Genomic DNA, 22,408 nt, shown 5'->3' with positions numbered 1-22,408 from the left:
ACTCAAAAAAGGTAAACACTTCTGTTTCAGGAAGGAGCAGGTGTGATTTTGGCTGCTTTGAAGTAATGGGGAAGTGTAATTAGAGTTGGGCTTATTGTTGGAAACAGTGGTCCAAGATAGGACTCCTGTTAAAAAAGATGTTTCTAAGTTTACTTCCAGGGCTGCCATATTATACAACTTTAGGGATTAGATTGTAGTTACTTAGTACAGTGGTCTTTAACCTTTTTGGCACCAGGGACTGGTTTCATAGATGAAAATTTTTCCACAGATGGGGTAGTAGGGGATGGTTTTGGGATGAAACTATTCTGCCTCAGATCATCAGGTATTAGATGATTAGTTAGATTCTCTGGCATTAGTTAGATTCTCATAAGGAGCATGCAGTTTAGATCCCTTGCATATGCAGTTCACAATAGTGCTTAATGCTTCTATGACAATCTCATGCTGCTGACGATCTGACAGGAGGCAGAGCCCAGGCAGTAATGCTTACTTGCCTGCTGCTCATCTTCTGCTGTGCGGCCCAGTTTCTGACAGGCCATGGACTGGCACTGGTCCATGGCCCAGAGGTTGGGGACCCCTTAACTTAGTACATCTCCTGGAGTGGTACAGGTCACAGCCTCCCTGGCTGTAAGAAGATTTGCTGCTGACTGCTGCCAGATGCCATAGCGTATATGAAGCAAACACTTAGGGATTCAGGAAAGCAAACATAGCTATACAACTAGGAACCTGGTAACTCAGAGTATATCCTCACTGTTATTGCAGAGCAGAATCTCCAGCTAGACTATCTGTAAGAAAAATATTTATGAGATAACTGAGGAAATTTGGAAATTTGAATATCAATTGATCATTTAATACCAAAATTTTTAATTTTTAAAAATATATTTATGATACTGTAGTTCTCTTAAAAAAGTAGTAAACATGTTCTCAGTAAGTGTTTGTATGAAAAACAAAAGAAGTTCCATCAAAAGTGCACTTGTAAAGCTAAATTCTCAAATATATGAACTCATCTCATGCTAAGGAAGATATGAAATAACCATAAGAGCAGTTCCGTCTGGATGACATTTCAGTGTTAGTCTGAAAAATATTAAATTACATACTGAGGGTTTTCAAAAAGAAAAGGAGTAATAGCCCTTAAGTATAAATAATTTTGAAATGTAAATCGGCGGAAAAAAGATGAGGTGGATTTGAAAATGACAAAAACTTTAGAAGTGAAAAATATAGTTGTAATTTTTAAAAGCCAACAGCATGGTGTTCATGAATGAGAAGAGTCAATTAGATGTCAGTTCTGTCCAATATTAATCTGTAAAGTCAATGCAGTATTAAAATCTGAAAAGGTTTTTTTTCACGATAGTAAACATGCAAACTTAAACATTTTTATGGTAGTGTAAATAGCCAAGGTAAAATTTGTAAAGAACAACACATTAAGGTAATGTGCCCTTCAGATACCAAAATTTATTATAGGACTGTAGTAATTAACAGAGGTTCAGGGGTGGAAAAATAGACCTATGGAACAGACTATAGAGCCCAGAACAGATTGATAGGTACAGATCCATAGATGGAATCTATTTTCAGTATGCTATGAGATAGGACTGTTAATTTTCTTCACTCCAACTCAGATTAGCAATTGAACCAGTACCACAGTGAATAGTTTGTCCTTTCCTCACTAGTTTATTTCTTTTTTAATTTTTTTTTTTTTTGAGACAGTCTCATTCTGTCACCCAGGCTGGAGTGTAGGGGTGCGACCTCAGCTCACTGTAACCTCTGCCTCCCGGGTTCAAGTGATTCTCCTGCCTCAGGCCCCTGAGTAGCTGGGATTACAGGGACGTGCCACCATGCCTGGCTAATTTTGTATTTTTAGTACAGACAGGGTTTCACCATGTTGGCCAGGCTGATCTCGAACTCCTGACCTCAGGTGATCCGCCCGCCTTGGCTTCCCAAAGTGTTGAGATTACAGATATGAGCCACCACTCCTGGCCTATATGGCTGGGTTTTTTTTATATGTTTTGTATTAATCTCTGTGTTTGAAAGACCATCTAGGCAAACAGGAAAAAATAGTTTCTTGATTAGAAGACTTTGACAAATATGTAGTAGTATGAGAGGATAGATAGTACCCTGGGCAACATGGTGAAACCCCATCTCTACTAAAAATACAAAAATTAGCCAGGCAAGGTGGCGCACACCTGTAGTCCCAGCCAGGTTGAGGTGAGAGGATCACCTGAGCCCGGGTGATGGAGGGTGCAGTGAGCCAAGATCATGCCGCTGTACTCTAGCCTGGGTGACAGAACAAGACCCTGTCTCAAAAAAAAAAAAAAAAAAAAAGGAAGTAACTGAAAGTATTTCTTCTTATTATTTTTTTAATAGCACATCATCCTTATATGTTAAAGGATGAAATAAATAAGGTAAATATTGATGACACATGAGAGTAGTTTTTTGGGGGCATATAACTAACTAATGAAGATAAGAAACAGGTTTTATCAGCCCTGGAAAGTGTGTGGGGCATATTTTCTCAGTAGAAGACAGGAATGGAATAAGATAGATGAGGTAAAGATAGGAATAAATTTTGAGTTGGAGAAGCCATTTGAAGGAAATCACTATTTTCTCAGTGAGGTATAAAAGTTGAAATCATTCTTCTAGAAGTGTAATATACTGTATACGAGGTTCGAGAAGATGGGAAGAAAATGCAGAATACTTGTAAGGAATGCAATAAATAAGGTTAGGTAAAAAGATATAATGGTAGCATTGAAGGAAAAAGGGAAGCTGAATAAAATTTGTAGTGGTGCCTAGTTGTATAATTGTGTTAAATTTGCCTAGCAAGTCAGGGGCAGGATTCTTTTGTCACTCTTGCCAAACTCCCTTCTCCTTCCCACCTTGTGGGAGGGAGTGAGTCAGAGCCTAGAATTCCTTGAAAATATATGTCTATCTCCTTAGTTGGTTTCTCTCATCATTTTCTTGGTTTTATGTAATTTCTATGTTTATCTATCTTCTTGCTGTTTTTAACAAATTTTACAAAATTTTTGCTCCATTGTTGGGATGCTTTCTTGTTTTTGCTTTATCCTTAAGAAATTTTGGGTACAGGGCAATTAGATTTGCATGGTTATTCTGTCTTAATCCAGTCTTTGTTAAGTATAAGGAAAGAACTTGGTTCTAATCCCAAGTTCCTTACAAACATTTGAGACAGCAGGGGAAAAATAATTTTTCTTTGTACTCTTTGGATTTTTGTATAATAAAACATTGAAATATATGTTTTTTTTGGCAAGTTACTATTTTAGAAAGTGCCTAGATTTGGACAGTGAAACTTAATATTATGTGGTCTCAATGAAACTGTTGCTGTGCTAAGACAAGAGTTAGTATTTTGTGTTTTAGAAGATGTAATCAACATGCTTGTTAAGCTTTTCTTTCTTGAGCATCAGAAAGCAATGTGTATTTACTTCTAAATATTTTGCATCTTTTATGTTACAGTTATTTTACCAAGAAAATGGTTTGCACGACTTTGAACATATACTATCCATGCTGATGGGACAGGATCCAATATGAATATAAATGATGGAGGAAGACGACGCTTTGAAGATAATGAACATACATTACGGATATATCCTGGGGCTATTTCAGAAGGGACAATCTACTGTCCGATTCCTGCCAGAAAAAACTCCACAGCTGCTGAGGTGATTGAGTCTCTTATAAACAAACTTCATCTTGACAAAACAAAATGTTATGTTCTAGCAGAGGTAAAGGAATTTGGTGGAGAAGAATGGATTCTCAATCCAACAGATTGTCCAGTTCAGCGAATGATGCTGTGGCCCCGAATGGCTCTGGAAAATCGCTTAAGTGGAGAGGACTACCGCTTCCTTCTGAGAGAGAAAAACCTTGATGGATCAATCCATTATGGTAGCCTGCAGTCATGGCTACGGGTAACAGAAGAACGTCGCAGGATGATGGAACGGGGTTTTCTTCCACAGCCTCAACAGAAAGACTTTGATGATTTATGTAGTTTACCTGATTTGAATGAGAAAACTCTCTTAGAAAACCTACGAAATCGCTTTAAGCATGAAAAAATTTATACCTATGTTGGCAGTATTCTAATAGTTATTAACCCATTCAAGTTTCTTCCTATTTATAACCCCAAATATGTCAAAATGTATGATAACCACCAACTGGGAAAACTTGAGCCCCACATTTATGCTGTGGCTGATGTAGCTTATCATGCCATGCTTCAGCGCAAAAAGAATCAGTGCATCGTGATTTCAGGAGAGAGTGGTTCTGGGAAGACTCAAAGCACAAACTTTCTTATTCACCACCTTACTGCTCTCAGTCAGAAAGGATTTGCCAGTGGAGTAGAACAGATTATTCTTGGAGCTGGACCAGTACTTGAGGTAAATATATAGAAATCTTATTTTTGATTTTAATTTTGATTTTTATCCTTTGAGGTGGGGGGGTGTACCATTCCTGGAGGTACTGCAATACCAGGTCGATGTGTGGAGTAGATCAAGCAAGATACTGTTCCATCTCCCAGCTCCAAAAACTCATTTAGGGCTGGGCGCAATGGCTCATGCCTGTAATCCCAGCACTTTGGGAGGCCTAGGTGGGTGGATCACCTGAGGTCAGGAGTTCCAGACCAGCCTGACCAACATGGAGAAACCTGTCTCTACTAAAAATACAAAAAAAATTAGCCAGGCGTGGTGGTGCATGCCTGTAATCCTAGCTACTCGGGAGGCTGAGGCAGGAGAATTGTTTGAACCTGGGAGGCAGAGGTTGTGGTGAGCTGAGATCATGCCATTGCACTCTAGCCTGGGCAACAAGAGCGAAAATCCATCTCAAAAAAAAAAAAAATTGTCTTTGGATAGAAGACATTTCAGATATTAAACTATAAAAACATAACTGTACTTGATCTTAGCCAAAAGGCTGAGAAGCTATAGAAATACTGTTCTTGCTATTCTGGGCACACTGCCTGCAGCGTAGCCCTGCTCTACAAGGAGCAGCAATTTAAAAAAAAAGAAAGAAAAATACTGTTCCTATTCTTAAACATATCTTTAAAAAATATTTGATAGATGTGAGAAGATGAAGTAAAACTAAATAGAAGTGTAGACATTATTTTTAGTAACCAAGAGGACCTGGAAGATGGGAACGCAAAAAAGGTGGTGTGGAAGATTGAAGAGTGTGACAGTGGTAATTTTTTTTTTTTAAAGAGAATGTCTTTGGGTCATTAATGATGCAAAGAAAGAGATGACTGTAGTCATTGTATATCCCCCTATAAGGGGAGAAAGCAGAGTCAGGTCGTGTCTAACTGCATTGTGATGGTTGGTGAAAATATTTTTGCTGATATATTTGTATTTCTGCAAGCTTAACAGCTGTGCCTAGCATCGAAACTTGTAATAATGTAGAGAATATGGGAAAAATGTTTAGTTGTGGGATGTTTTACAAGTAATACCATCCAATGTCAAAAGGAAAGATAATACAGAAGGACAAGTACTCCACAGTCTCACTTATATGTGGAATTTGAAAAAGTTGAATGCATAGAAACAGAGCAAAGTGGTAGTTACTAAAGGCTGTGAGGATTGGAGAGATGTTGGTTGTAGGACACAAATTTTTTAGTTATATAGGAGGAATAAGGTCAAGGGATCTATTGTACTTCATGATGACTGTGGTAAGTAACAATACATTATATACTTGAAAATTTCTTTTTTTTTTTTTTTGAGACAATTTTGCTCTTCTTGCCAGGCTGGAGTGCAATGGTGCGGTCTCGGCTCACCGCAGCCTCTGCCTCCCAGGTTCAAGGGATTCTCCTGCCTCGGCCTCCTGAGTAGCTGGGATTACAGGCATGTGCCACCACACCCAGCTAATTTTGTATTTTTAGTAGAGTAGGGGTTTCTCCATGTTGGTCAGGCTGGTCTTGAACTCCCAACCTCAGGTGATCCACCTGCCTTGGCTTCCCAAAGTGCTGGGATTACAGGCATGAGCCATCGCCCCCAGCCTATACGTGAACATTTCCAAGAGAAGATTTTAATTAGTCTCATTACAAAAAATGATAAGTATTGTGAGGTAATGCATACATTAAGTAGGTTGATTTTGCCATTCTACACTGCAGACATATATGAAAACATCATGTTATACACCATAAATATATGCGGTTTTTGCTTGCCAATTTAAAAAAAAAAAAAAAAAAGGAAAGGGAATATAGTGTTTGTTTTAGACCTGAAAGGAAAAGGTAATATTACTTTGTTGTCTTTTTAAAAGATATTTTGTAGGTATAATTGAAATACAGTAAACTGCGTATATTTAAAGTGTATAACATGATAAACTTTGACATGTATATACCCATGAAACCACCACCACAGTCAAGAACATATCCATTATCCCCAGAGTTTCCTCATACCTCTTTGTAATCCCTCTTTCACGCTCCTCTCAGCCCACCCATATATGGGAAACCAGTTAAGTGCTTTCTGTCACTGTAGATTAGTATGCATTTTCTACCATTTTATATAAATGGAACCACATAGTATGTACCCTTTTATATTTGGCTTCTCCCACTTGGTATAATTATTTTGAGATTTATCCATGTTGTTGCATATGTCGATAATACATTCCTTTTTGTTGCTAAGGTAATAGTATTCCATGGGATATCACAATTTTTTAGATCTGTTCACTCATTGATGGATATATGGGTTGTTTTTAATTTTTGGCTATTACATTCAAGTTTATGTAGACATATGCATTTTTTTCTCTTCAGTAAATATCTAGCAATGTAATGACTAGATCAGATGATAAGTATGTGTTTAACTTTTTATTAAGTTCTTTAATTTCTCTTGGCAGTATTTTATAGTTATTAGTGTACAGGTCTTTTACATCTTTGGTAAGATTTATCTCTCAATATTTTTGAGGATGTTATTATAAATGGTGTTCTACAATTTTCAATTGTTTGTTGCTAGTATATAGATATACAGTTGATAGTTACACGTTGACCTTATCTTCTGCAACCTGGCTAGACTTAAATATTAGTGCCATTAACCTTTTTTTTTTGTTTGTTTTTTGAGACAAGGTCTCCCTCTATTGCCCAGGCTGGAGTGTAGTGGTGTCATCATAGCTCACTGCAGCCTCGATCTCCAGGCTCGAGTGATCCTCTCACGTTAGCCTCCTGAGTAGCTGGCACTATCAGCCTGTGTTGCTGTGCTCGGCTGTGTTTTTTTTTAATTTTTAGTAGAGACGAGGTCTCACTATGTTGCCTAGGCGGGCTGGTCCTGAACTCCTGAGCTCAAGTGATTCTCCTGTCTTGGCCTCCTAAAGTGCTGGGATAACAGGCATGAGTCACCACACCTGCCCACCCCTGCAACAGCTTTTTTATAGATTCCATTGGATTTTTCATATAGTCAGTCATGTCTGTGAATAAAAAGTTTTTCTTACTTTCCAGTTTGGATGTCTTTTTTTTTTTTTCTTGCTTGATTTCACTGGCTACTCCAGTATAATGTTGAGTAGAGGTGGTTGAAAGCAACATCCTTGTCTCGTTTCTGATCTTAGGGGAAAACATTTAGTCTTTAGCCATTAAGTTATAATGATAGCTGTTGGTTTTTTGTAAATTCTCTGTCACATTGAGCTTGATCCCTTCTGTTCCTAGCTTGTTTAGAGCTTTTTTTCAGGAATGGATGTCAAAATTCATTCTGTCAAGTGTTATTTCTGTGTCTTATTGAGATGATTATATTTTAAACTTTGTTAATGTGAATTACATCATGAGGGACATTGTTTTCTTTCTCATTAAAAAAATTTTTTTTGAGAGTGGATCCCACAGTGTTGCCCAGGCTGGTCTCAATCTCCTGGGCTTCAATGGTTCTCCTGCTTCAGCCTTCCAAATAGTTGAGATTATAGGCATGCACCATCATGCCTAACATTGTTTTCCTGAATGTCTTTTTTTTTTTTTTTTTGCATTCTATCTTGCACCATCATGCCTAACATTGTTTTCTTTAATGTCTTTTTTTTTTGCATTCAATCTTTTGCATTGATAGAATTATCAAGTCTCATAGGATGAATTGGGAAGTCTTTTCTCCTCGTATTTTTGGAAGAGTTGTGTAGAACTGGTTTTTTTTTTTTTTACTGTCAGTGTTGGAATTCATTAATGAAACCATCTGGACCTGGTGTTTTTTATGGGAGAATTTTAAACAAGGTTTCAATTTTAAAAGTAGATATAGAGTTATTCATGTGATTATTATTATTACTGTTTTTTTTTTTTTAGTAAGCTTTGGTAGTTTGTGTCTTTCAAGAAACTTGCTTAATCTAAGTTATCATATTTATTCTCATAAAGTTTTATATAATATTCCCTTATTGGCAACTGCTGTGGCTGCCACCGCTGCCACCGGCTCTGCAGCTGTAGGGGACCTGTGCAGGTACGCAGGTGAAAGGAGCTCTTTGCCTGCTGAAAGTTCCCACGGAAAAACTACCATCTCCCCAGCTCACCATGGTGTACGAAATTGATTTAACTACTGGAGATGCTGGGGCTTCCAGCACTCACCCTATGCAGTGCTCAACCTTGCGGAAAAGTGACTTCATGATGTTCAAAGGACAACCATGCAAAATAGTGAAGATGTTAACTTCCAAAACTGGAAAACTTGGTCATGCCAAGGTTCACCTTGTTGGAATTGCTGTTTTCATGGGAAAAAAAGAAGAAGAAGATATTTGTCCTTCTGTTCACAACGTGGATGTTCCAAATATTCAGAGACATGATTATCAACTGATATGCATTCAAGATAGTTGCCTTTCCCTGCCGACAGAAGCTGATGAAGTTCCTGAGGATCTTAAACTGCCAGAAAGTGAACTAGGCAAATAAATACAAGGAAAATACAACGCAGGTGAAGATGTACAGGTGTCTGTCATGTGTGCAATGAGTGAAGAATATGCTGTAGCCATAAAACCCTGCAAATAAATGGGAGCCTCAACCTCCCTGGCTTAAGCAATTCTCCCACCTCAGCCTCCCAAATAGGTGGGATTATAGGCATGTACCACCACACCTGGCTAATTTTTGTATTTTTTGTAGAGATGGAGTTTTACCATGTTGCCCAGGCTGGTCTTGAGCTCCCAGGCTCAAGCGATCCACCTGCTTTGGCTTCCCAAAGTGCTAGAATTACAAGCTTTTAAAGTTTTTAGTATGATCTCTGAGGTCATTGATTTTAGATCATTCTTTTCTAATATATTTATTTAGTGCTGTAAATTCTTTCCTAGGTACTGCTTGTACTGCTATCCCACAAATTCTGACATATTGTGTTTTCATTTTTATTTAGTTTAAAACATTTGATAATTTCCCTTTTGATTTCTTTTTTTGTGACTTATTCTTTATTTTTTTGTTTCCTGCTGGTAAGCCATAATTATATAATCATTGTAGAAAGAAATGTATAAAATATTGTTGTAGAAAATACCGGGTTCTTCGGGAGGCAAAGGTTGCAGTGAGCCAATATCATGCCATTGCACTCCAGTCTGGTCAACAGAGCGAGACTCCGTCTCAAAAAAACGGAAAATACTGGGTTCTTGTCACACGACCAGGAAAGATTAGGCTCGCAGACACATAGAAGGGTGAGGAGTAAAATTAATGAATGAAAAGGAAAAACAATTCAGGAAAGTGAGATGAGGTCCTCCTAACAGGCTGTTCACCTCACTAATTTGATCCCAAGTCTTCACACAGAAACAGGAGAGGCCAGGCTCCTCCCCCCTGCAAATGGCATAGACTTCACAAGTCTTCACCCTGTCTTCCTGGTATGCAGGTCAGTTGGAGATTCTCCTGGAACCTTTTGTTACTTGCCTGTCTCATTCTCCCCTCTAAAGAAGTGCATCTAAGTGCCATTAGAATAAGGATAAGGATGAGGATGAAGACCAATTTTAACTGCCTCCTGCTGACGGGGCACTGTTTTGGAAAAACAGCAGTCAGATCTTCCTAGAGGCCTATCTACGGGCTCCCAGCAAAAGTGGCCGTTGTCCGAGGCTCCTAGTTGGATGACTATTTGGAGCTTGATGGCCCAGGCAGGGCTATGTTCTGACATATTCCTGTGTCCATGCAGTGGATGAGGTTGTGATTTGTGGTCCACAAGCCTAGGGTGATGGAGAGACCAGATTGCTGCTGCAGGTTCAGGGTTATTTCCCAGCTTCCAGGATGTCCTGGCTTCTTAGCTGTGCATCTCCCAGGACCTGGAGATCACAGAGGAACGGAGGCTGTGACAAAGTCACCAGGGGCTCCTGAGGTGGAGGACGTAGAACAGCAGAGACAGATCCCACCCACCCCCTTTTTTTTCTTTGAGACAGAATCTTGCTTTGTCGCCTGGGCTGGAGTACAGTGGCACAATCTCAGCTCACTGCAACCTCCACTTGCCGGGATCAAGCGATTCTCCTGTCTCAGCCTCTTGAGTAGCTGGGACTATAGGTGTGCGCCACCACACCCAGCTAATTTTTGTGTCTTTAGTAGAGATGGGGTTTCTCCATGTAGGCCAGGCTGGTCTTGAACTTGACCTCAGATGATCCACCCACCTCAGCCTCTTAAAGTGCTAGGATTACAGGCATGAGCCACTGTGCCTGGCCTGATTTCTTCTTTGAACCATGGGTTGCTTAGATTTGTGTTTAGTTTGTAAATATTTAAATCCTATCTGGTTTTTTTTGGAAACCTAATTATTTTATTATAAATATATATAAACAAAAATTTTAAAGACACTGAAAAATGTACAAATATAAAACTGTATTTAAATTTTTTTCCTTAAAGTTTGTATACAACTATAAAGCAAAACAGATTTTGCCAAATTAAGTACAAACGGAACTTCAAATCAGTGAACTTTAGATTAACAGTATTACTTGAAAAGTATGGATGGTATTTTGTTGAAATTAATTTGCTACTCACGAGTGAATACAGTACTTTCTAAAACAATGACATACTTGTGTCACTTTAGTTTCTTTCACATGACCAATTCTCAATAAAGATTTGTGAATTTAATTCTCAGGAAGGTATAAATAATTCGAAATATTTTGGTGTATCAGAAAACCAAAATCTAAAAGTCTCTATCTTTGGCCCACTGCACATTGTATCTATCTAACCTCTGTATAGACTATATGGATAAATATGGATTTCACTCTCCCTTTATATAGATATATATCTACTTATATCTATCTTATAGGTAAATATATATAGATTATGTATATATTTTAAGTTATTAAACTAATTATACATGCTGTAAAACAAACAATGCAGAAACGAATGAAGTAAGAAATGAAAGCCCTTTTGTACAAACATTAGGTTGCTGTAACAAAGGTCAAAACAATAAGGGATTAAAGAAGATAGACTCTTATTTCTCTCACGTCATAATACACATGGTAGCAGTCTTGGGCTGATCTGGTTGATTGTACAGTGATGGGCACGGGCTCCTTCTTTGTGGCTCTGCCATTCTCAGTACATGGCTTCCATCTTAGTCTAAGATGGCTGTTTCCATTTACCCTACTGGTTTTTGGTTGTCATGAAGGTGCTTTTTGTGTGTGTGTAGTTAGTTGTTAAATTGGTGTCTTTTTGTGTGTGGGGGAGCAGTCAGTGGATCTGTGGATCTGTTCCACATCTTGCTCTGCCCCAATCCTGTCCTCTGAGATTCTGTCCCCTGTTCTTGATTTATAATTTAATTCTTTTGTGGTTAGATAACACTGTGTTGTATAACTTGAACTCTCTTAAAGTTATTGAGACTTGTGGCCCAGAACATGGTCTTTCGTGGTGGATATTTTTTGTGCATTTAAGAATTCTGTATTTTGGCCAGGTTAAATAACACTGTGTTGTATAGCTTCAACTCTTTTAAATTTATTGAGACTTATGGCCCAGAACATGGTCTTTCGTGGTGGATATATTTTGTGCATTTAAGAGTTCTGTATTTTGGCCAGGTGTGGTGGCTCATGCCTGTAATCCCAGCACTTTGGGAGGCCAAGGAGAGTGGATCACTTGAGCCCAGGAGTTCAGGACCAGCCTAGGCAACATGGGTGAGACCCTGTCTCTACAAAAAAATGGAAAAGAAAATTAGCTGGATGTGTTGGTATGCACCTGTAGTCCCAGCTACTGTTGGAAGGCTGAGATGGGAGGATGGCTTGAGCTCAGGAAGTTGAGGCTCCACTGAGCTGTGATGGTGCCACTGCACTCCAGCCTGAGTGATAGAGTGAGACCCTGTCTCAGAGAAAAAAAAAAAAAAAAAGCTGATAGTCTTTGCCTAGTAAGTCCAGCATCTGGGCATTATCAGGAACGGTTGCTGTTTAGTGCTATTTTTCATTTTCCCATGCCCATACTTTTGTACTTTTTTGCATGTCTCTTAATTTTTTGGTGAAAACTAGACATTTTTAAATAATAATAATGATGTGGCACCTCAAAATGAGATTTTCCCAAGGTTTGTGGTTGTTTTCTTACCGTTATTTGGTTGTTTCATGACTTCTTTGAACTAATTTTGTAAAGTCTATATTTTTGTGCATGAGATCATCAAAAACTGTACTCAGTTATAGTGGTTAGTTATGATTAGACTTGGATTTCCTTAAATGCCTGAAGTTAAGGCCTCCAGTCTTTACTATGAGGTTCTGTGTGTTTGTTGACTCACCCCTTCAGTACTCAGCCAAGCGGTTGTCAACTCTGCCTTACCTTTTACTTCCTGCTTACAAAGAACCTCAAGTTCAAAACACAGGTCTCCTGTGTTTTGTGAGCATCGACATATCCTGGGCATGTGCAGTGCTGTGCATGCTCGTGGCCTTCCATATGCCCATGAATATTTCAGATGTTTTCAGAGTCCCCTTTGTACATATTATTCACCAGCTTTTCCTTTTAAGTTGTTTGGTGTTTTTTTTTTTTTTTTTTTTTGCCCCATTCTGTTATTGCCACCTTAAGCAGTTATAGTGTTTAAACAATTGCTTCTGATTGTTTTTGACAAGCACACATAGTGATGGTGGGTGGGTGCAGTGGGGAGTGTGAAGAGGCTGTTTTAAGCAAGTGATTTCCAAGTAAGGTCAAGAAAGTCCTTATGACACCACTGCACTCCAGTCTGGGTTGACAGAGTGAGACCCTGTTGCAAAAAAAAAAGTAGGATGAGGGGCAGGCACTGTGGCTCATGCTTATAATCCCAGCACTTTGGGAGGCTCAGGTAGGTGGATCACTTGAGCCCAGGAGTTCAAGACCAGCCTGGACAACATAGGGAGATCCCCCTTCCCCCACCATCTCTACAGAAAAATACAAAAATTAGCTGGGTGTGGTGGTGCATGGCTGTGTGTAGTCCCAGCTACTCAGGAAGCTGAGGTGGAAGGATTGCTTAAGTCCTGGAGGTTGGAGGCTGTAGTGAGCTGTTATAGCACCACTGCACTCCAGCATGGGTGACAGAACGAGATCTTGTCTCAAAACAAAACAAAACAAAACATACATACACACAAAAAGAGTACCCTTTGTGTGAGTTTTTCCAGGGAAATGCCAGATAAGTCAAATTGTGATGATTTTCTCGGGGAAGTGGAGTTTGGATGAGTTCCATCCCTGTTCTGATTCTTCAGGTGGCTTCTTGGGTGTCTTTAAAAAAAACCCCATCATTGTAGGATGTTGGTTTTTCTCTTCAGTGTGGAGCTAAAGAGAAAGGAGTAGTAATAGCACAAGTTAAAATGCCTGATTTTCCTAACCAAGACTCATCTGTTTTTTCTTGATTAAATGCCTCTGCCAAGGGTTCTTGCAATCCTTTGGTTAATTTCCAGAGTTCTTAAAAATTTGAGTTTGACAGTTTTTGTCAGCATTCTTGTGCCTTTTATGAAGGAGAGGATGTTTAGAGGTCCTTACTCTGCCATTTTTGCTAATCTCACTCTCAATGATCTTTTCAAAAGATTTAAGTACTAAAAAATATTTTATGTATTTATTCATGGGGCAACCATTTCTGCTGTTCTTCCTTCCTTATATAGATCCATGTTTTAATATGATACAATTTTCCTTCTGCTTAAATGACTTCTTTAATGTTTCTTTTAGTGCAGGTTAGCTTGTGATGAATATTTTCAACTATGTATATCTGAAATTGTCTTTTTTGTGCCTTATATTTTGAATAAATATTTTGAGGAGTTAAGTTTTTTTGAAATAAGTAATCATATTATAAAATTCTATGAATTTAAAATATTACCTTTTATAGTCCTCTGTGTATAAAACTCTGATACTCCTTATCTTCATACCCTCTGCCCTGCCATCCTTTCATGACTCAGAATCACTTGTCTGCTCTCCATTGCAGCTGTTTTTGTTTTTGAGAATGTCATATACATAGAGTCCTATAGTATGTAAAGTTTTTTATTTTTTTGAGGCCCGGGTTTCAGTCTGTCACCCTGGCTGGAGTGCAGTGGTACAGTCACAGCTTACTGCTGCCTCGACCTTCTAGACTTCAGTGATCTTCCCACCTCAGCCTCCAGATTAGCTGAGATTACAGGTGTGTGCCACCATGCTGGTCTAATTTTTAAAAACTTTTTGTAGAGATGAGGTCTCCCTATGTTGCACAGGATGGTCTCAAACTCCTGGCTTCAAGCAGTTCTGTCCCCTTGGCCTCCCAAATTGCTGGGATTACACATGTGAACCACCACATGTAAAGTTTTGAGACTGATTTCTCTCATTCAGTGTTGTATCTTTGAAATTCATCCAGGTTGTTAAAATACGGCAGTTGTTTATTTTGCTTGTGAGTAGTATTCCATTATTTAGATGAATCACAGTTTGTTAAATCCTTCATTTGTTGGTGGACATTTCGTTATTTTCAAGCTTTGACTGTCAAAAAGCTGATGATAATGTTTGTGCCTTGATGTGTATGTATATATAAATTTGTATTTCTCAGTAGTAAATAGCCAGGAGGGGTATCGCTGGGTCATATTGTTAAGAGTGTGTTTAACTTTCTGTGAATGTTTTACTTTTTGTTAGATTGTCTTCCAGAGTTGTTCTACCATTTTGCATTTCCACCAGCACTGTATGAGTGTTCTAGTTCCTCTGCATCCTCAGCAGCACTTGGCATTGTCAATTTTTGTTGATTATTTTAGCCATTCTAATAGGTGTGTAGTAGTATCTCATTGTGGTCTTGACGGAATTTCTGTAATAGTTGGTGATGTTGAACATGCTTTCTCATGCTTATTTGCCACCCATATAACTTATTTGGTGAAGTAACTATTGCAAGCCTACCTCTCAAAATGGCCCTAAATGACTTTATGTAGTGATAAAAGTTGTATTGCAATCACAGGTTAAGTAACAGGTAAAGCTTCTGATTTGCTGTTGACATTGTAGCCTTGGGCAGAATCAAAAGTAGCATATATGAAAATAAGAGTAGTACATCACACATCCATATTTCGTATCTCCAAGCCCACGGTTTTATTTTGTAAGTTTTTTCAAAATGTAATGCATTTGACACTTAAATGAATATTTCTTTGATGAAATGTATGTTTCTGTTTGTTTCTACATTTTATTAATCTGTGCTATGTGGTTTTTCTAAATTCCTTGTAAAAAACTTTCTATGGTGGAAAGGGAAAAAGCAGAATGGACAAACTGTTCTAGGCATTCAGGACTCAGCAATGTCAAGCTTTTTTGTGTATATAGTTTGCAGATGGTTCGGTGATGGTTGAGAGCCTGGGCTCTTTTCCATGACTTACTAAGATACAGTATAATCTAAACATTCATGAGGGACATTTCTGGAGATTTTTATGAATCTTTGCATTTGCTGCTATCATTATAGAATAATTTCTTAAGACATAGTAAAATGTAATTTCTCAGAAATGTAAATGCATGCATAATAAGTAGAGCGGTGGTTGTCAAACTTTGGCTTACATCTGAACCACTCGAAGGGGGTTTTATAAGCACAGATTGCTGGACCTTATCCTCAGAGTTTCTCATTCAATAGTTTTGTGAGGGACCCAAGAATTTGAATTTCTAACAAATTTTCAGGAGATGCTGATGTTTCTGGTCTCAGGACCATGATACAGTTGTAGTTGAGTACGACTACTTGAGTACAGATGTAGTTGCCGGGGCATCAGCTTGGTTGACGTCCTCGCCTTGTCTTGTATGTGTGCGTGCGTCCGTGTATATATGCTCTGCACAGTTACAGTTTAGCACAAACAGCTTTGCATTTAGGGAGGTGTTCAGTAAATGGCTACTTTAGGATTTTGGAGTTAGAGGGCATGCCATTCCCATGAGATTATTGTAGGAGAAGAAAAAAGCTCCGCAATGAATCATCTCTGTGTCTTTTCTAGTTTTGTTTCTTCAAGTATAATGTGATTGCTCAGGCTAGGGCAGTGGCTTCATTTTTAAAAACATTTACATCTTAAATTTCATTGAGCTATATTGAGCTATAACTTACAATAAAATCTACACATTTAAAGCGTACAGCTCAGTGAATTTTGATAAATGTATATATCCATGTGACCACCATCACAGAATTGAGCTATAGATTATCTTTATCACCCATTGTGCCCCTTTGTAGATATTTCTCAATTCCACCCGGATTCCCAGATAACCGCTGATCTGCTTCCTGTTATTCTTGTTTTGCCTTTTCTAGAATTTCATATAAATAGATTATATGATATGTACTTTGTGCCTGGTTTCTTGTGCTTAGCATAGTGTTTGTTGATATCATTAGTTTATTTTTATTCCTGGGCAGTATTCCATTGTAAGGTACATACTTTGGGTGACGATTTAGGAAGTTTATAGTTCTTATTCTTTTGTAATGAGTACTCTAGCTTTGTTTTAAATAGGCATAATAAAGTATAGTACATTATGTACTGGAATTTCATTTCATTCTATTCTAAAATTGTAATTATTTTGATGTAATTATTATTTTCCTAACTCCTTGTTACTTCAGTTTAGCAAATTTTTTAAAAAGTAAAAGTATAAATATATTAAGACTTTTTTGTAGGGGGGCTCTGGAATGTGAAAGAGAAATCCAAACTTTAAAGAACATTACATTTTTAAAATTATGATTTATTTTGGCTGGGTGCAGTGGCTCACACCTGTAATCCTAGCACTTTGGGAGGCCGAGGCAGGCAGATTGCCTGAGCTCAGGGGTTCCAGACCAGCCAGGGCAACACATTGAAACCCCATCTTTACTAAAATACAAAAAAATAGCCAGGCTTGGCGGCGTGGGCCTGTAGTCCCAGCTACTCGGGAGGCTGAGGCAGGAGAATTGCTTGAACCCAGAAGGCAGAGGTTGCAGTGAGCCGAAATCACACCACTGCACTCCAGCCTAGGCGACAGTGAGACTCTGTCTCCAAAATAAATAAATAAATAAATAACATAAAATAAAATTATGGTTTATTTTACTGAATAGCACAAAATAAAATCTACTTGATCTTCTTTCAGTTGTTAATTGCTTTTTTTTTAAAAAAATTTTGCCTGAACTGTGAATGAGTCTGAACATACAAGCAAATTGTCTTTTTACTGTCTCTTTAACATTTTGTCTCTGAGCTGACCTAAGCAGCTGACCTAATCCCCCCTCCAAAAAAAAATTTTTTTTTTTTAGTGAAACTAATGAGAATTATTTATTTTGACAGGCCTTTGGAAATGCAAAGACAGCTCATAATAACAATTCAAGTCGTTTTGGGAAGTTTATTCAAGTAAATTACCAGGAAACAGGCACTGTACTTGGGTAAGTACTGCTACTTAGCAGGCGTAGGCTTTGGAGCATGTTTTAATTTTTGTCTTTACCCTTTTATAAACTATGTATTGTTCATTCCCAGACATTGGTGTCAGCATTAAAATTCTTCCCTGTCAACTTTTTTTAGTTTTGGAAAAGTTAAAACCTCAGAAAAATTTTAACACCAATGTAACAGTCACACATACTCTTAACCTAGATTTGATTGTTGTCAATGTGTTGCATTTGCTTTCTATATATTATGCATACATTTGTTCTTTTAAAAAATTGTTTTCAAGGCCAAGCATGGTGGCTCACACCTGTAATCCTAGCACTTTGGGAGGCTGAGGTGGGTGGATCACCTGAGGTCAGGAGTTGGAGACCAGCCTGACCAACATATAGTGAAAACCCATCTCCACTAAAAAATAACAAAAATCAGCCGGGCACAGTGGCGCAAACCTGTAGTCCTAGCTACTTAGGAAACTGAGACAGGAGAATCTCTTGAACCTGGGAGGTGGAGGTTGCAGTGAGCTGAGATTGTGCCACTTTACTCCAGTCTGGGCGACAGAGCGAGACTCTGTCTCTCAAAAAAAATAAAAAAATAAAAAGTTGTTTTCAAGTAAGTTGGTATTTTCTAATCTACATTTTCCTATATAACCATATTATTATATTCGAGAAATTTAATTTTGTTACAATATTGTTTCTTATTATATAGTCTATGTTCAGAGTCCTCTGGTTGTGTGAGCAATATTCTTCATAGTTTTTTTTTTTTAAATAGACTATTTTTTAGAGCAGTGGTAGCTTCACAGCAAAAATAAGTGGAAAAGTACAGCAAATTCCCCTATATTCCTTTAAACTCCCCCTACCACCACCCTTATCTGTGATTTCAGTTTATGCAGCTTCAGTTACCCAAAGATAGTTGAGTATAGTACAGTAAGATGTTTTCAGACAGAGACCACATGCACATACATTTTATTACAGTGTATTGTTATAATTGTTTTATTATTTATTATTTATTTTTTTTGAGAAGGGTCTCACTCAGTTGCCCAGGCTGGAATGCAGTGGTGCAATCTCGGCTCACTACAGCCTCTTCCTCCCGGGTTCAAGTGATTCTCCTGCCTCAGCCTCTAGAGTAGCTGGGACTACAGGCGTGTACCACCATACCTGGCTAATTTTGTATTTTTTGGTAGAGATGCTGTTTCACTGTGTTGGCCAGGCTAATCTTGGATTTCAGGCATGAGCCACTGTGCCCAGCCTAGTTGTTCTATTTTATTATTAGTTATTGTTAATCTCTTACTGCAGTGGTCCCCAACCTTTTTGGTGCCAGGGACTGGTTTCGTCGAAGACAATTTTTCCACAGACTGGGGGATGGAGGAATGGTTTTGGAATGATTCAAGCTTGTTACATATATCATTAAATTCTCATAAGGAGTGTGCAGCCTAGATCACTCTCATGTGTGATTCACAATAGGGTTTACATTCCTATGAGAATCTAATGCCGCCGCTGATCTGACAGGAGGTGGAGCTCAGCTTTGCTCAGTTGCTGGCCGCTTACCTCCTGCTGCGTAGCCCGGTTCCTAACAGGTCATGGACCGCTACGAGTCCATGCCCTGGGGGTTGGGGCCCCCTGTCTTCTGTGCCTAATTTATAAATTAAACTTTGTCATAGGTATGTATGTATAGGAAGAAAAGACGCAGGCCAGGCACCCCTATAATTTCACCACTTTGGGAGGCTGAGGTACGCAAATCATTTGAGGTCAGGAGTTGGAGACTCACCTGGCCAACATGGTAAAAGCCCATCTCTACTAAAAATACAAAAATTAGCCAGGTGTGGTGGCACGTGCCTGTGGACCCAGCTGTTCAGGAGGCTGAGGTGGAAGAATCACTTGAACCCAGGAGGCGGAGTTTGCAGTGAGCTGTGATCGTCTGGGAGACAGAGCAAGACTCCTCCAAAAAAACAAAGTTCAAGGAAAAAAACCATATATATATGTATATATAGATATAGATATAGTATATAGATATGTATTATGTAGAATGGGATATATATGTGGGTTTGGTATTATTTGTGGTTGGCATCTTAGAATGTATCCCCCATGAATAAAGTGGAAGGGGGCTACTGTAGTTGAAAAAGAGAGCCTTTGTAGTTAAAACAAACCTGAGTTAAAAGTTATGCTTTTTACTAGCTGTGTGATCTTAATATCTTTCAGCATCAGTTTCTATACTTGTAAAATAGGGGCAGTAATATTTGCCACGCAAGGTGGTTGTGAGGATTTAACATATTCATGTTAATTTCCTTTCTCCCATTTTAGACAGGTAAGAGCCTGTTTTGGTAATTTAGACTGGAAATGGCAATGGTAATTCAGAAAAAGAAATAAATTTTAATTATTGGTGGTGGTAGTGGCAATGGATTTTCAAAGAACCCACATTTGAGCTTTATTTTAATGAAGGAATGCAATTTACTGGACAGAGACTGGGAATAGACTAGGGAATTGGAAGTGGGAGGAAGAAAGTGAGCAGTGCAGTTAGGAGTGAATGGAATCTTTGAGGGATTGTGTGTTTGTGAGTGACTGAAGTATATAGCATGTGGTGGGAGGCAACTGGGAGAAATACAGCTTAAGAGTCAGATTCTGGCCTCTAAGAGGTTTGTCCTAATAATTTGGATTCAGTAATCTAAAGCTTTTACATTTCAGATTCTAGAACCCCTTTCCAATGAGATCTTAGCTGATTGCACCCATTTGGGTAAGAAGTTTTAAAGACTTGGAGGGCACAGTCTGGATAAAGAGAAAAAAATATCAGATATACAATTGATGTTTAATTCCTCATTACTTTCAGGATAAAGTTCGTTCTTCTGGCATATAGTATAGTAGCTCTTGATCGTAGTCCGTCCACCTATATCATTCTCTAGTCATACGTAACTTGGGTCATACACCACACAGTGATGTTTCAGTAGATGATGGACCTCATATACTATGGTAGTCCTATGAGATTTTAATACCCTATTTTTACTGTACTTTTTCTATGTTTAAATGCACAAATACTTACCATTGTGTTACAGTTGCCTATAGTATTCAGTGCAGTAACATGCTGTATAGCTATGTAACCTAGGAGCAATAGGCTATAAGATAAGGCCTAAGTGTGTAGTAGGCTATACTATCAGGGTTGTATAAGTGCACTCTGTGATGCTGACAAACAACAAAATTGTCTAATGATGCATTTCTCAGAATGTACCTCTGTAGTTAAGTGATACGTAACTAATTGTTTTCCCTGAAGTTGGTATGTGTACCCTCCTTCCTTTATAACTTTACATAAAGGCAGTTCTCCTTTCCTTCTGGTTAATCCTTCAGATTTTGAATTCATTTACCCAGTCACTCTTTCACCAGATATATGTAATGAAAGTTTACTCTGTGCTGTGTACTCACTTATCCATGGGAATTCTTCTTTACATCCTTTTTCCTTCTTGGATTGAATCTCAGGTGTCTCTCTTTGTGTACGCATAATATCCTGGTCATTGCTCTACAATAAGCCCTATCAACTCAGTATGATAGCTGCTAGATTATCTCCTTTCTCTACTAATTTGTAAGTCATTTGAGAACAGGCAGTAGATCACTTATTTCCATATTCCTTGTGCTTGATATAGTGCCCAATAAATAACTATAGAGTAAATCATTATATAATAAATTGATTTTAGGCTGTGACAATAGCGTAAATATATAAAAAGAAACTATGTATATCTTTGAGCCTTATGTAGTAATCTGTCCAAAGTATGTCTGGAAGAATGTGTAGTGGTATATAGCCTAGAAATAATGTAGAGTCTTTCTTCAGGGATCTTGTGTACTGTGTTTTAAACTTCTTTTTTTTTTTTTGAGACGAAGTTTTGCTCTTGTTGCCCAGGCTGGAGTGCAGTGGCATGATCTCAGCTCACTGCAGCCTCTGCCTCCCGGGTTCAAGTGATTCTTCTGCCTTAGCCTTCCGAGTAGCTGGGATTACAGGCGTGCACCACCATGCCTGGCTGATTTTGTATTTTTAGTAGTGATGGGGTTTCTCCATGTTGGTCAGGCTGGTCTCGAACTCCTGACCTCAGGTGATCCACCCTCCTCGGCCTCCCAAAGTGCTGGGATTACAGGTGTGAGCCACTGCGCCTGGCCTGGTTTAAACTTCTTATTTTATTTTGCTTTAGTGAAAGAAAAAAGACTCGTGACCATATGAATTTAACATGGATAACACTAACAGTACCCATACCACAATTATAATAGTATGTACATATATATATTTATATATATATATATATATATTTATTTATTTATTTATTTTTTTGAGACAGATTCTCACTCTGTCACCCAGGCTGGAGTGCAGTGGCCTGATCTTGGTTCACTGCAACTTCTGCCTCCCAGGCTCAAACAATTCTTCTGCCTCAGCCTCCCGAGTAACTGGGATTACAGGTGCCTGCCACCATGCCTGGCTAATTTTTGTATTTTATTAGAGATGGGGTTTCACCATATCAGCCAGGCTGGTCTTGAACTCCTGACCTCAGGTGATCCTCTCATCTCGACCTCCCAAAGTGCTGAGATTACAGGTGTGAGCCACCTCGCCCGGCCAATGGCGCATATTTTGAAATGATCTGGATAGTATTCTTTATACTTTTACACTGTCTCCAAATATTTTTCTGCCTTATATTAAACTTTATTATTTATATCAACCAATTTAATTTTTCTTGTAGTGCCTATGTTGAAAAATATCTACTGGAGAAGTCCAGACTCGTTTATCAGGAGCATAATGAACGGTACGTATTTTTATTTGTGTAATTAGATGAAGTTAACATTTGTATCAC

The 22,408-nt window shown here is 38.4% G+C and overlaps 1 protein-coding gene, 1 long non-coding RNA gene and 2 pseudogenes across 52 annotated transcripts in view, besides 1 other annotated feature; 2 read left to right on the top strand and 2 right to left on the bottom strand.

The window, feature by feature from the left end:
• Positions 1-22,408, top strand: part of MYO9A (myosin IXA) — a 296,310-nt gene that overhangs the window by 68,510 nt on the left and 205,392 nt on the right. For all 50 annotated transcript variants that reach the window (XM_047432576.1, XM_047432553.1, XM_047432585.1 and 47 more), the window contains 3 exons: positions 3,457-4,367; positions 17,503-17,597; positions 22,298-22,360. In XM_047432576.1, coding sequence (XP_047288532.1) covers positions 3,528-4,367; positions 17,503-17,597; positions 22,298-22,360 — 998 coding nt within the window. In that variant the 5' untranslated portion in view covers positions 3,457-3,527. The remainder of the gene's footprint in view (positions 1-3,456; positions 4,368-17,502; positions 17,598-22,297; positions 22,361-22,408) is intronic.
• RNU2-65P (RNA, U2 small nuclear 65, pseudogene) lies at positions 4,724-4,908 on the bottom strand (annotated as a pseudogene).
• EIF5A2P1 (eukaryotic translation initiation factor 5A2 pseudogene 1) lies at positions 8,310-8,914 on the top strand (annotated as a pseudogene).
• The window catches only part of MYO9A-AS1 (MYO9A antisense RNA 1), a 64,558-nt gene continuing 55,476 nt past the window's right edge, over positions 13,327-22,408 (bottom strand). Inside the window, exon 3 of one of the 2 annotated variants that reach the window (XR_001751796.2) lies at positions 13,327-13,576. This is a non-coding gene — a long non-coding RNA (MYO9A antisense RNA 1). Of the gene's footprint in view, positions 13,577-20,372; positions 21,752-22,408 lie in introns of those variants that run through there. The other variant, XR_007064702.1, reaches the window with a different exon arrangement.
• Positions 19,084-19,299: a silencer, noted in NCBI's record as "fragment chr15:72323133-72323348 (GRCh37/hg19 assembly coordinates)". NCBI's record gives its function as "represses an EF-1alpha promoter that drives an FKBP-Casp9 reporter gene in an ReSE screen in HepG2 liver carcinoma cells {active_cell/tissue: HepG2}" and the evidence as "EXISTENCE:reporter gene assay evidence [ECO:0000049][PMID:32094911]".

The sequence above is a fragment of the Homo sapiens genome, chromosome 15 (assembly GCF_000001405.40).
Source record: "Homo sapiens chromosome 15, GRCh38.p14 Primary Assembly".
Classification (NCBI taxonomy): domain Eukaryota; kingdom Metazoa; phylum Chordata; class Mammalia; order Primates; family Hominidae; genus Homo; species Homo sapiens.
The sequence above is the reverse complement of the archived record's forward strand: the minus strand, read 5'-3'. Positions and strand labels throughout refer to the sequence as shown.